This window comes from Homo sapiens, chromosome 8 (genome assembly GCF_000001405.40).
Source record: "Homo sapiens chromosome 8, GRCh38.p14 Primary Assembly".
Lineage (NCBI taxonomy): Eukaryota > Metazoa > Chordata > Mammalia > Primates > Hominidae > Homo > Homo sapiens.
In genome coordinates, this window is record NC_000008.11 from 18,875,285 (window position 1) to 18,889,343 (window position 14,059).

The 14,059-nt window shown below is 39.0% G+C and overlaps 1 protein-coding gene across 20 annotated transcripts in view; it reads right to left on the reverse strand.

The window, feature by feature from the left end:
* PSD3 (pleckstrin and Sec7 domain containing 3) overlaps positions 1–14,059 on the reverse strand; it is a 557,503-nt gene that overhangs the window by 347,982 nt on the left and 195,462 nt on the right. Inside the window, exon 3 of one of the 20 annotated variants that reach the window (NM_001412874.1) lies at positions 13,157–13,197. The exons of 17 other annotated variants lie outside the window; for them this stretch is intronic. Coding sequence is in view for 1 of the 3 variants with exons in the window: in NM_001362819.2 (NP_001349748.1) it covers positions 11,324–11,354 (31 nt within the window). In the remaining 2 variants the exon portion in view is untranslated. Of the gene's footprint in view, positions 1–11,323; positions 11,774–13,156; positions 13,198–14,059 lie in introns of those variants that run through there. 2 more of the 20 variants (NM_001412883.1, NM_001362819.2) reach the window with 2 other exon arrangements.

Here is a 14,059-nt window from a genome sequence, read left to right on the forward strand (position 1 = left end):
TAACACCTTCTACAAGACAGAACTAATAAAATGTAGCTTGCTTACATCTGAAGAGGAAGTGACTTTTCAAACAATGAATTGAAAAAGATGATAGCTAAAAACAATAAAGAGCCTTCTTCCTAGGGTGGAATATTGATATTTTATGTCTTTCAGTAAAGAAGGCAGTAGGTCTTTTCATGGTTCCACCTTTTAAGATTCAGGCATTTTTAGTATATTCACAAAACTGTACAACTATCACCACTATCTAATTCTAGAACTTTTTTTTTTTTTGAGATGGAGTCTTGCTCCGTCACCCAGGCTGGAGTGCAGTGGCGCGATCTCGGCTCACTGCAAGCTCCGCCTCCTGGATACACGCCATTCTCCTGCCTCAGCCTCCCGAGGAGCTGGGATACAGGTGCCCATCACCATGCCTGGCTAATTTTTTGTATTTTTTTAGTAGAGACGGGGTTTCACAGTGTTAGCCAGGATGGTCTCGATCTCCTGACCTTGTGATCCGCCCGCCTAGGCCTCCCAAAGTGCTGGGATTACAGGCGTGAGCCATGGCGCCTGGCCATTCCAGAACATTTTTATCACTCCCAAAAAGAAACCCTGTATCCATAAGCAGCCAATCCCCATTTCAGCTTTTCTCAGCCCCTGGTAACTACCAATATACTTTCTATCTCTATGAAATGGTCTATCCTGGACACTTCATATAAATGCAATCATACAATATATGGCATTTGGGGTCTGACTTCTTTCACCTGGCACAAGGTTGTCAGGTGTACTCATGTCATATCATCTATCAAAACTTCATTCCTTTTATTTTATTATTTTTTACATGTAAAGAGAGACAGGGTCTCTCTATGGTTCCCAGGCTGGTCTCAAACTCCTGATCTCAAGCAAACCTCCCAGTTCAGCCTCCCAAGTAGCTGGACTACAGGTATGCGCCACTGAGCCTGGCTGAGAACTTCATTCTTTATTATTGCCAAATAATGTTTCATCATACGGGAGCAGTCTTTTCTTTGGCCATTCATCAGTTGATGAGATATTGGAGTTGTTTCAACTTGTTGGCTGCTATGAATAAAAAATGTGTATATAAGTTTCAGGGTCTAAATACATTTTTTCTTTTCTTCCTTTTTTTGAGACAGGGTCTCACTCTGTCACCCAGGCTGGAGTGCAGTGGGACGATCATGGCTCACTGCAGCCCTGACCTCCTGGGCTCAAGCCATTCTCCCACCTCAGCCTCCTGAGTAGCTGGGACTATAGGCACAGGCATGCACCACCATGCCCAGCTAATTTTTCTTTTTTTTTCTTTTGGCAGAGATGGGGTTCCACCATGTTGCCCAGGCTAGTCTTGAACTCCTGGGCTCAAAGGATACGCCTGCCTCGGCCTCCTAAAGCGCTGGCATTACAGACATGAACCACCGCATCTGGCCTAAATATATTTGTTATTCTCTTCTATATATACCTAGGAGTGAAATTTCTGGATCATATAGTAAACCTATGTCTAATATTTTAAGAAACTGCTGAACAGTTTTCCAAAGCAAATGCACTATTTACATTCCTACAAGCAATGTCTAAGATTCTATTATTGTCTGTTTATTGTTACAGACATCCTAGAAGTGGTATCTCACTGTGATTCTCATTTGCATTTCCCTAATGACTAATTATGTTGAGCACCTTGTCATGTGTTTTTTGGCCATTTGTGCATCTTTTTTAGAGACATGCCCATTTGATGGCTGAATTATTTGTCTTTTTATTACTGAGTTCTAAGAGTTCTTTATATATTCTGGACATAAGTTCTTTATTAGATGTACACTTTGCAAATGTTTTCTACCATTCTGTGAGTGGTCATTTTTCACTTAATTGACAGTGTCTTCTGAAGCACAAACGTTTTTACTTTTGCTGAAATCCAAATTATCCGTTTTTCCTTTGGTCTCTTGTGCTTTTTGTATCATATGTAGCAAATCATTGTCTAAACCAACGTCACAAAGATTACTTTTACGTTGTCTTCTAAGAGTTTTGCAGTATTTGCTATTACATTTAGCTCTCTCATCCACTTTCAATTCATTTTCGTACATGATGTGAAGTAGAAATCCAACTTCATTATTTTGTATGTGGATATCCAGTTGTCCCAGAGCTATCTGTTGAAAAGACTATTCTTTACCCATCAAAAAGCCTTGGTGCCCATGTCAAAAATCAAACATATACATATATTAATATATATGCAAAGGTTTATTTCTGGACTCTCAAGTCCATTGAGCTAGATGCCTATCTTTTTTTTTTTTTTTTCTTTTTGACAGGATCTCACTCTGTCGCCCTGGCTGGAGTACGGTGGTGCAATCACAGTTCACTGCAGTGTTGACCTCCTGGACTCAAGCGATCCTCCCACCTCAGACTTCCGAGTAGCTGGGGCTATACGCATGCACCACCATGCCTGGACAATTTTTCATTTTTTTTAAGAGACAGGGTCTCACTACATTGCCCAGGCTGGTCTTGAACTCCTAGGCTCAAGTGATCCCTCCCGCCTCAGCCTTCCAGTGTCAGGATTACAGGCATGTAGCACCACACCTGGCTAGATGCCTATCTTTATGCCAGAATAACACTGTCTTCACTATTGTAGCTTTGCAGTAAGTGAAATCTGGAAGTGTGAGTCTCCTCCAACCTTGTTCTTCCTTTTTCAGGTTGTTTTGGTCACTCTTGGCCCCTTGAATTTCCCATTACTTTTAGAATCAACTCGTCAGAAAGCTGTGATTTTGATAGGGGCTGCAATGAATCTATACAGTACTGGCTTCTTAACAGTATTACTATTACATCTTTCGTTCCATGACCATGGGCTGTCTTTTCACTTACTTAATCTTCTTTAATTTCTTTTAGCCATTTTTTTTTATAATTTTAAATGTACAGATTTTCAATTTATTCCCCTAAGATTCTATTTCTTTTGATATTGCTTTTCAAATTTCTTTAGATCATTCAGTAGCCATGCATAGAAATTCAATTTGTTGCTGTATGTGAATCTTATATCCTACAACCTTGCTTAACTTGGAGCATATAATAACATATTTGTAGATTCCTCAGGATTCTACATACCAGATCATGTCATCTGTGGATAAAAGCTTTACTTCTTCCTTTACAATCCCAATCCATCTTTCTAATCAAGTCTCTGTCAACCCCCTTTCACATGTTATACCATTGCCTCTACACTGAAGTAGGAGGCAGCCCATGAATACCCTGAAAAGATTTGTTCTAATCCTAATACACACTGGAAATAAGCTTAAGCATACATACATTCTGAATGCATAGACATACACACGCTCCTTTGCCTTTGTTCAACTTCCTTTCTCTACCTGACATACTTTTTCTTCTCATTTCAACATAAATCAGATTATTTTCACATTTCAACACCTAAACCAAATCCCCTGTCCTTAATTAAGCCTTCCCTTGCTCACCAACTCTTGAAAAAAGTCCTCTCCTCTGTATAAATAAATGTCAAAAAGACTTTTGCGGTATGGTATATATAGTGTAAATATACAAAACAAATAAGCATAATGTTACTCACGCCTTAAAGCTTCCAAAGGCAATAATGTTTAACCCATCATGAAGTGTTTTAAGAAAATTGACCATAGTGACTGCTGAAGCTGTATTTATAAACTGCACCAAAACATATAACAGTGAAATCCATTCAACAAAGGGAAGAAAAGTTAAACTTAGACACTTGGGAGCCCGCTTTGCTTTAACAGTTTCAACTGCCCTCTGGAAAAAACAAACAAACAAACACACACACACAAACACACACACACACACACACACACACACACACACACGCACACACAACTGAACACTGGCCCCAAGAGAAGTGACCAAAAGATATCAAGGGGCCTCAGAGAATTCTGATAATTCCTTCACCCCATTTTTAATAGTTTTCATTGAAATGTCCCTCAGAAAGGGGCAGCAAATTCAACAATTGTGGGCAAGTGCTTGTGATGTCTGATATAACAACTTGGCAACCGGTCAAAGAAAACGAGGTCAGATAAGAGGGAGACAGGGCAAGGCAAAGCCCTGCGTGACAGATTGCTTGCTTTACTATTAAATACTGGAGTAGTTTCTCGTGGTCTGTGTTTACTGTTCTAAGAACTGGAACAGACGGGGGGAGACAAATGTTCTGAGAGGCGAAAGGACCTGACCAAGGTCAATAAAATGATGTTCAATAAAGTATTGTTTTAGAACTCTAAGTCAGGACTAAATTTCTAGTCTTCTGTCTCTCAGGAGTAAAAGCCTGGGAGAAACTCAGGGACACTGAACCGTGAGAGATCATCATTCATCATTGCTTTTTTTTTCTTTTCTGAGATAGGGTCTCACTCTGACACCCAGCTGGGGTGCAGTGGCACCATCATAGCTCACTGCAGCTCAGCCTCCTCCGGTGCTTAAGTGATCCTCCAGCCTCAGCCTCTGGAGTAGCTGGAACCACAGGCATGTGCCATCTCACCCGGCTAATTTTTTTATTTTTATTTTTTTGTAGAGACGGGGTTTCCCTATGTTGCCCAGACTGGTCTCGAACTCCTGGGCTCAAGTGATCCTCCCACCCTTGGCCTCCCAAAGTGCTGGGATTACGGCGTGAACTAACGCATTTAGCCAAGACCATCATTGCTAAGAGCAGTAATGTTAACAAATATAATGAAGAATAAAACCAGAAGTGTTCTAGTTGTAGCTTCTGGGTAGAAACAGCCTTAATTATCATGTCCCTAAGGATTCAGCATAACAGCAAGAATTTCCTTTCAAATAAGGCACCCTCTGCCACACCCCATGAGCAGTTTATTTTTGCTGTTTGCATTGGTTATCACAACTTGACTGTGTTGTTAATCCTGACCTTTTATTTAGAATTTCTGATTTATTCCTTCTGTTTAAAAATTGGGACTATATGCTAAGATAATTATTTTTTTAAAAAAAGACCAAATTATTGTTTTAAGATTTTTTAAGCTGCTCCCTTGTAAAATAGGGCCTTAGATACTTCCTATTAAATGCCCATTGTTTCCAAAATTCATTCACGCATTCAGCAAATATTGATTACCTGCTATGTACTAAACACAGGGGATTCAAAACTGAGTATTTCCAGAACATGAAAAGTCTGTTTGGCATGTTAGAAAGCTCGCCTTGGTGGAATGTGAAGGATGTGTAGCAGAGAGGGCACAAGCATAGACTCAGGAATAACCACGCAGGCTTCTGACAATAGTACAGGTGAGAGACGGTGAGTGCTAGAGCCAGAACAAAGGCAGAATAGACAGGAACAAAGATGCAAGGGGTGCTGCATCTCCCACGACACTCTACTTGGACCGGCATCCATGCCCATCATCTCCTCATCTCCTCTGCCCCAGGCCCCTCTAGTTTCAACATGGCTTCTTCCAACTGCTGTGAGCTCTTACACCAAACTTGAAACTTGTTAACACTTTCCCTTTCAGTCTACATCTATTACTAATGTAAGAATCCACTGAAAACATTTCCCCTCCAGCGAGCCTTCCTGAATTAGTCCTACCTGAATTTGGTCTTGTATGTGTGACAAAGGGACTCAGGGACTTGTTAAATATAAAAAAAGAACTTTAGCACTTACCTAAATATAAACCACACACTAGTAGAATGTGAATTAATAAAGAGTTCATACTTTACTGCGTGTATTTTTCCCCTTAAAGAAATGAAAATGTAGTGTAGAGTGTGGAGGAGGGAAGAGAGAAGAGTTTTCACATTCATGTGAAATACAGGTACTTTTTGGAGGTATCTATTTACAGTCCATTAGAAGTCATACTTTTCTATCAGAGACTTTATCTGCGGCTTTGTGTATCTGGTTAGATTCCTAACAAATCGTGTTTCCTGTTGTTTAGCAAAGATGCTTTTCCTGCAATGACATATAAACCCACTGATTTTTTAAAGACCTTTTTTCTTTTGATTTAGTATATTGAGAAAGAAATGAGATACATTTGAATGTTAAGATGAATTTTAGGAGTGCTTTGGGTTATATATTAAGTAGTCATCTGTTTCTGGAACACAGGGACAGAGCTGTAATAAAATGAAATGAAATAGAAAGAAATTTCTTCAAATTGTGAGAAAATAAGCCTGTTCCATAAGATCGGCTGCAGAAAAACCAGGGTCTTTCTAAGAATTATCCTGTTTGAGGAGCAGTAAATCAAACTGGTTTTCTTCCACTCTGGCTAGCAAACTCCTGAAAAGACAATAGTTCAAGAAAAACAAAATATAAGAACTATTTGCCACATCTACCGTAGACTCGGTCACTGTAAGCTGAAATTTGAACCAGATAAAACCGTTTTCATGCGGGATTCTCAGCAACAGGACATACGTTTCCCCAGACTATATGGCAGTCACATCTATGCCTAGGTTCCTCAGGAGAGCCACAGTTACGGATTCTACACACATATATTTTCTAGAACCTGGGATCAGTCATGCCATTTTTTAGTAAAAGGTTTTTGTTTTGTCTTGTATTGTTTTGTTGCCACAAAAATATAAACTCTAAAAGGCAAGAACTTTATTTGCTTTCTTTACAATTATATCTCCAGAGCCTATAACAATTTTACCTAGCAAAATGGGTATTTTTGTTGAAGCAATCAATTATGAATGTCCCAGAACCAATAGGATACCAATTAATAGAAGGTGAAAGCCAGATGAGGTGGCTCACGCCTGTAATCCCAACCCTTTGGGAGCTTGAGGCAGGAGGTTCACTTGAGCTCAGGAGTTCAAGACCATCCTGGGCAAACAGGGAGACCCCTCCTCTACAAAAAATTTAAAAACTTAGCCAGGTGTGGTGGTGTGTGCCTGTGCTCCCAGCTACTTGGGAGGCTGAGGTGAGAGGACTGCTTGAGCCTGGGAGGTTGAGGCTGCAGTGAACTGTGATTGTGCCACTGCCCTCTAGCCGGGACAACACAGCAAGATTCTGTCTCAACAAACAAACAAACAAACAAACAAAAAACCTTAAGACAGAAGCAAAAAAGCAGCCTCCTTAAACATAAGCAAAACACTATATGTTAGTGTCACCCAAGTCCTACCCGTTGCTTCTAAGTCCAGGCTTGAAAAGGATTCAGGAAACAGTAGGGCGCTTCCTGATATTAGAGCCAGTTCATTCTCTCATTTACTCAGCCAACATTTCTTGTGGACCATGAATGCATCAAGCAGCAGAGAAAAGGGCAACAAACAAGAGCAACTTGGCCTCTGTCATCAAGGAGCTTACAATCCAGCAGCTCCATCTATATATACTGTCTGCTCGCAAACAAAGTTCAGGCAGTGGTAAATTTCAGTGGAGATAATCTCAGCCTATTCTAGAATTCAGCATGATCCTACATGAGCTGATACCATTAAGTATAAATTTCTCAATGGATTTCTCTCTAACACTGTGTTGTCCAATTTGGTAGCCATATCCACAGAAGCCTATTTACATTTACATTTAAGTTACTTAAAATTTAATAAAATTGAAATTGTAGTTCCTTAGTGCTCCATACCATATATAGCTAATACCTACCATACTCCACTATACAGATATATGGATATATATATACATATATATAGCTTATGTAGATATATATACACACACACACACACACGCACGCACACACACACAGATATCCATATATCTGTATAGTGGAGTATGTATGTCTGTATAGATACCTGTATATTTCTGTATCTGTCTATACACAGAGAACATTTCCGTCATCACAGAAAGCTCTATTTGAAAGTGCTGCCCTAGAGCCTTTCTACTCAGTGTGGTCTTGAGAAAGCAGCATAGATATCACCAAGGAGGCTTGTTAGAAATTCAGACTCTCAGGCACCACCTCAGACATTCCCAATCAGAATCCTGTTGGTTTCTAACGAGAATCCCAGAGGATTTGTATACACGTTACAGGATGAGAAACACACCTCCAGAAAACTACAACAATATCTACAAGTCATTCTGATTACATTTAATGCCTACTTTTTTATTTTAAAAGAGATCATAACTGCCTGCCTCCTAACTCAGAGGTCCAACTGTTCAATCAAATAGACATCAACTAAAGTAAGTTCCAAGAAAACAATCTCATTACTGCAAAGAGAAACACTTGATCATTCTGGTCTGGGTTTACCCTCAAATTACCAAGTAACCCCGGTCCCTTTCCAAGAGAGGAAGAGAATTGCCTCTGCTGTAATATGACCCCTTCTTGATTTTACAGCTCATAGTAAATTTCTCTCACAATGAATGGCCAATGACTCTCTACTTACACAAAAAGATCCTAAAATAACTGCAAATGTAAACTTGACCATTAGTCAAAACCTGTATATTATTATTTGTACACAGCCTTAAAAAAATTACTTTGGAGCTTAAAGAAATGGGCTCAGGGAAGGGTAAGGACTTTCCAATTTTTAAAAACCAGAATATTTTCCCAAGGTTTTTAATGTTCATATCTTTGGATGCGTTGCTTTTAAAATAGAAATGTACGGGGAAATTCAGTCTGATAAGATACTATGGAGAATGCACTAAGGGTCTTATAATCTATTTCCTATGACTATAGTTCATCGGATTTTCAATCCTTTATAAATTATGGCTAACCCAGCCACTAATAATCTGTTTTCCCTCCTTTCTACATGTGATATTCATAAATGCAATAACATCTTTGGTGTTCTCTGTTCCCTAATGAATACCAGTTAGTAAACACCTTAAAACATATTAATATTATGTTAGTACAAGAAAACTATAAATTAGTAAGCTATTTTAACACTTGAAAATTTATAGAAGCAAGCTTAAAATCACATTCCCCTCACTTGTCAGAAAGGAATTCAGTTCCAAAGACGAGGGCAGGAAAAAGAGTGACCACTCTGATCCCTTAGTGTGAAATTTCATAAATCTGTAAGATTGGAAGATAAATGCTTAATTTACAAAACAAATATAAAGAGCAAGCCTTGCAGAGTTAAAAAAAAAATCTCAAATGCATTTCATTTATAAGTAACTATAATCCTTAACTGTAATAATTATCAACATTTTTACGTTTAATAATCAATAAACTTCACCAGCAACACAGTGATACATGACTCAAATTTGCAATGCAATAGTAAAATTTGTATTAAAATAAAACAAGAGGATAATCTAACCCATTTTGCCCAGCAATAGAAAATAAATTTGGTATGATAAAAATAACGGAAAAATGAATATGAGTAATGAGAATTACTAAATGAGTAATCTAAATACATTATATTTTAAGACACTCTCTTCACCCTAAGAAAAGTCACATTTTGAAGAAAACTACGGTATGTAATCCAGGATGCTGGCTATTGCCTGGACACTGATAATGCTAAAGGCACAGATATTTAAGTTGTTTATGTGTTAGGAAAAAAATAAAAAAAAACAGGAAAAGACCTGCCAACCACTACACAAGCTTCTAACGTGTGCACACGAACAGAAAATATTCCATTAATTGGACACTCTTTCCCCAAGTGATTAATAGTTACAGCTGTGCTTACGGCAAACTAAATTTCACATACTAATGATTCAGAACCCAATTTTTCTTATTCAGCTCTAATCCCTAGAGAAATGATACTAGTTTACCATTCAGTCAATTTCAGAGGCAGCTCTGTGAGCTAAGGAGTGGCACCGCATACAGCATACCAAAGGGAAGCTTGAGTGAGACAGGGAACAGCCCATTAATTTTAAACCGTAGTCTCTGCAACTGTGCAGAGCACTGTTACCTGTTACAGAGAAGAAACACTAAGCTGTAAGAGCTGAATTTGAGCTCATCTTTAAAATTGCCGTTTTTCAAAGCTGGTTTCCTTTTTCAACCAGTGGGGTTCTCCACTCTTGTCTGCCTCTCTTTGTCATAACTTCTGGTTTTTTATATCCACATCTTGTGCTTCTCCTTTCAGCCTTTTACCTTCTGATCAGGGATGCCCCTCTGATTTCATCCATTCTGTCCACTTTCTACGATCCTTTCTGTTGGGGAATCCATACTTTTAAAAATCCAATTGTAAAATTTCTCTCTTTACTGACTCTTTAGTTTTAATTTTATTTTTAAAAGACAAAAAAAAGTTTAAACTAAACTTTTAAATAACCCCACAGTCTCGCTCACAGCAAGCTTTCTTCTGCTAAAATTAACACATATATGGTAAGATTAATATAAACTGTTTCGTATATATGTAGGAAATATTGGGACATTTAAGAATTTGATGTTTCAAAAAACCATACAATTCTTTTAAAAAATAATCATGAATGCCAAGCAGCTGGAGTTCTTCACAGTGATGATCAACTACAGCTGTGGACTTCTTTAAACTTCTGTCTATGAAGACAGATGTTAGGTGCAGTGGTAAACACGCCACCTCACTCAGCCTCCAGTGTGTAGCAGACTCAGGACTCAGCTGATCCACATTTGCAGCCAGTAGTTTTCATGCTCAATAAGAGACCCACAGTTTCACTAAGGATTCAGGCTACAATCTGACATAAACAATTGTCCCAAGTATATCTAGAAATGCAAATTTTGCAGAGAGTTGAAAGTCAGTTTCCATGGTGAGAGAGAAATAAATCTTGAATTACTATAAAAGCGACACTTTTAACAAACAGGAAAAACACATCCTTGTGTGTAAACTGAGATACCTGTTACAAACTTCCAGTAAAGATTCTATCTCAGCCTCAACTAGCGTGTTTCCAGAACATTTTTGGTGCTACCTTTGAGCTAACCTTGTTCCCTTCAAGGCTATTCAGATACTAAGCTGTACTTCAGGCACACAGATGGAAAGCAGTTTGAGCTCTTTAAGAGAAACTCCTCCCCTATTCCCATCCAGCACTACAACATTATGTCTTTCTAAAACTGGAGGGGTAGCCTGTTTTCTCTCTTTCTGTCTATATAATATATCACAAACAGGGAGCAGACATAGGGTGACAGAATTGTGTGTTCCCAGGAAAGCTTGTGGGGAAAAAAAAAAGAAAAGAAGTAAGATTACAGGTAAGAATAATATTTTGCTTTCTATATAAAAATAAAAATTTTGAAAAACTCAATGTCACATGCTGAAATCAACATTCCAGGTAAAGCCAGGTGAGGTGCTGGGCATAGGCATTCAGAGGGCAGCCGGCATCTCTCTGATGACTGGGAATTAAAGAATGGTTGGCGCGGGCATCCCCGAATAAATGCAAAATGCTCTCCTCTATGTCTGGATTCAGCAGAACCTGGTCTAGCCCCAGGGGTCTCCTACTGGGACGCTCGAAAGACAAGACTAGTAAGCAAAAGCAGTCAATAATACAGACGGATACTTTCACAGCAGCATTTAAAAGAAATAGATATATAAAAATATATTTGCCTGCATAGACCTACAAATAGAGGTTACTCACAGAGATTACTGTAGCTCCAGCAGTTACCCATTGATCATAGAAAATGCCCAGTTCATCAGTTTAACGCTTGAGAAAAGTTAGCTTAAAAAGAAGCAAGCTAATTCAAAATATGCTGTTCTAGTCAACTGGAAGCAAATTAGTTTCAGATTTCCTGGCAGCCCCTTTTGCCCTGCACTGCACACGGTGATGGAAATGGAAGCACTTTGAGCACTTGGAACCCGAGCCGAGAGGAGCTGCTGCCTCAGTCCCTCTCACAAAGGCGGAAGCAGCCTGTTCTCCCGTTTGCTCTCCCTGTCTGCCTCTGCCGCTCTCTACCTTGGTAGCTTACCGAAAACAGCCACCGTAGGGCGTTTTTATATTTGTGAAAACTACTTCCAAGGAGATAATTGAGATGACGGGAGTTAGCTTTAATGTAACCATGTCCCCCAGTGCAGCAGCAGGAAGCCCAGCAAAGGCTTGGAGAGGATTGTACCATCCTGGGTGACATCAGAGGTGGGGCTGTCATCTTAGTATTATGCAGCATTTTCTCTGATGCAAGAATGACACATGGGAAAGAGATGGGTAGGTTCTCTTTAAAAGGGTTTAATTCTTGTATTATTTTAACGGACAAGGGAAATGCAAACACATTGTTTAAAAGCTGCCACAGAATGACACAAATCCTGCTTTGCCAGTCCTTATCTCACTGCTTAGTGATGCTACCATTTAAAGTCATTTTAGTGACGATTGTATCTTGTTCCTGTGATTAAATTAATATTTAATGGGTGATTGCTGTTACTTGGAAATGTGACATGAGAAGACTCAAAACCAGTAACATCCATTTTTAAATATGAAGCCATAAACTTTTATATCACTTACAGTACCTTGTATGTATACAATGTCTTTCAACACAGTCTCAGTATAAAAGCACCAAATGTAAAAACTAATAGGTTTATACATGAGAAAAGTGAAGTGAGGTGGAAAGTAGCAGAAGATGAGTAAGATATTGTAATATTATTGATACTTAATAGTGATAATGGCTATTAATACAAATATTAAAAATAACATGAAGATTCCAATCTTCTGTAACCCTAATATTTCCAACCAGTATGAGGATGCATGGGCTGACAATACAAACCACTTCACAGTTGCTTTTATTCATTCCATATACATTTACTGAGTGCCAAACAGGGTGCTGAAAAATGTGTTCAGTTTAATTTGGAGAACGTTTCTGATAAGTAATAATATAAGCAGGATAGAAAGTATTTACTTATGTGCCAGGCACTATACTAAGCAGTTTTATTGTATTAATTCATCTATTTCTACCAGCAGCCCTGTGGGATGGCTACTATGATTAACCCATTTTATAGATGAAACTACTAAAACTCAAGAGAGGTGTGTGACTTGTCCAAGATCACACGGCTAACGCTGGCACAACCACGATTCAAACACAGGCAATGTGCCTCTAAAGTCCACCCTCCCTACCCCTAAGCTAAAGTGCCTCCAGGGGGATTCCTTGCCAAGTAAAAGAAGTCTAAAGAAAGAATATAATTTTCAGGATTCAGAACCATCGCAAGCCAAAAATATCCACCTCTCAAGAAGCCTGGCCCAAATATAAGAGGATATAGATGAGAGTGTGCACCTAGAGACAGCACCAGGGTAGTGGAAATACACCCAGAAACAGAAGCTCAGTGCCGACTACCGGCATGACCTTGGGCCAATGCCTTAAAACTTTCCAGCTTTAGCTTCCTTATCTCTGAGCTAGAGATGTTTAAATTACAGATCAGTATAACCACGTGGTTAAAGCAAACAATCTCGGCTATTAATCTGGATTCCGTCACTTTCCAATTATGTTACCTTGAGCAAGTTATTTAACCTCTGTGAGCCTCAATTTCCATCTGAAAAAAAAAAACGGGAATAATAATGGGGTTTTCTGAGGACTAAATGAACTGTACATAGAAATACATAAAGCACTCAGAGTAGCAACCAGTATAGAATAAAAGCTCAAGGTTTTATTACTGATACTATAATCACTATGACTTTTAGTAGAATTACATTTTTTATAAAACTACCCACTTCTTCCCTTTTCAAAATCCTCTCAAAGAAGAGCTATTTTTTGAGTTGGTTTCAACAGCAGAAAGGACAACCTTTGCTGGCTTCATACAAGCACTAACCAGTCCGTGAATCACCAATTCCCTATGAGATGTAAGCTGGATTTGTTGGGCAAGCCTTCTAAGACCGCTCCTTCCAAGGGGAGGAAAGAGTGGTAAGCGCCCTTTTGTTCTCCCTCTTCCTTATGCCTGGAATTCAGAAGATGGAGCTGGAAGTGAAGCAGCCCTGAGGAATTGTGAGCATCCCATAAGCTAGCGGGGCAAAGCTGAAAGCACCCCTTACCCACCACAGACCTCCCACCCCCACCCACCATCTTCACATGGGGGAGAAATTTACACGGGTCAGGTTACTGAATTCAAGTTTTCCAAATGTCTATAGCATATCGCATTAGGCTTTAGTTAACACTTACTTTGACTAACCCCCTAAAACACCATTTCAAAACGTAAAGCTCAGAAATAAATTACTTACATGTTCTCTAGTCTTTTACAGCACCATCTCTTAAAAACATGCACAAAAACAGCACCTGCTTAGCAGTGCCATCTTCAACTCCTCAATTGTTTTGTTTTGTTTGTATTGATTATATTCTCTTATTATCTGTGTTCTTGATACTCCCGTATTTGGGGCCTTGACTGTGGAGAGACTGTTCCT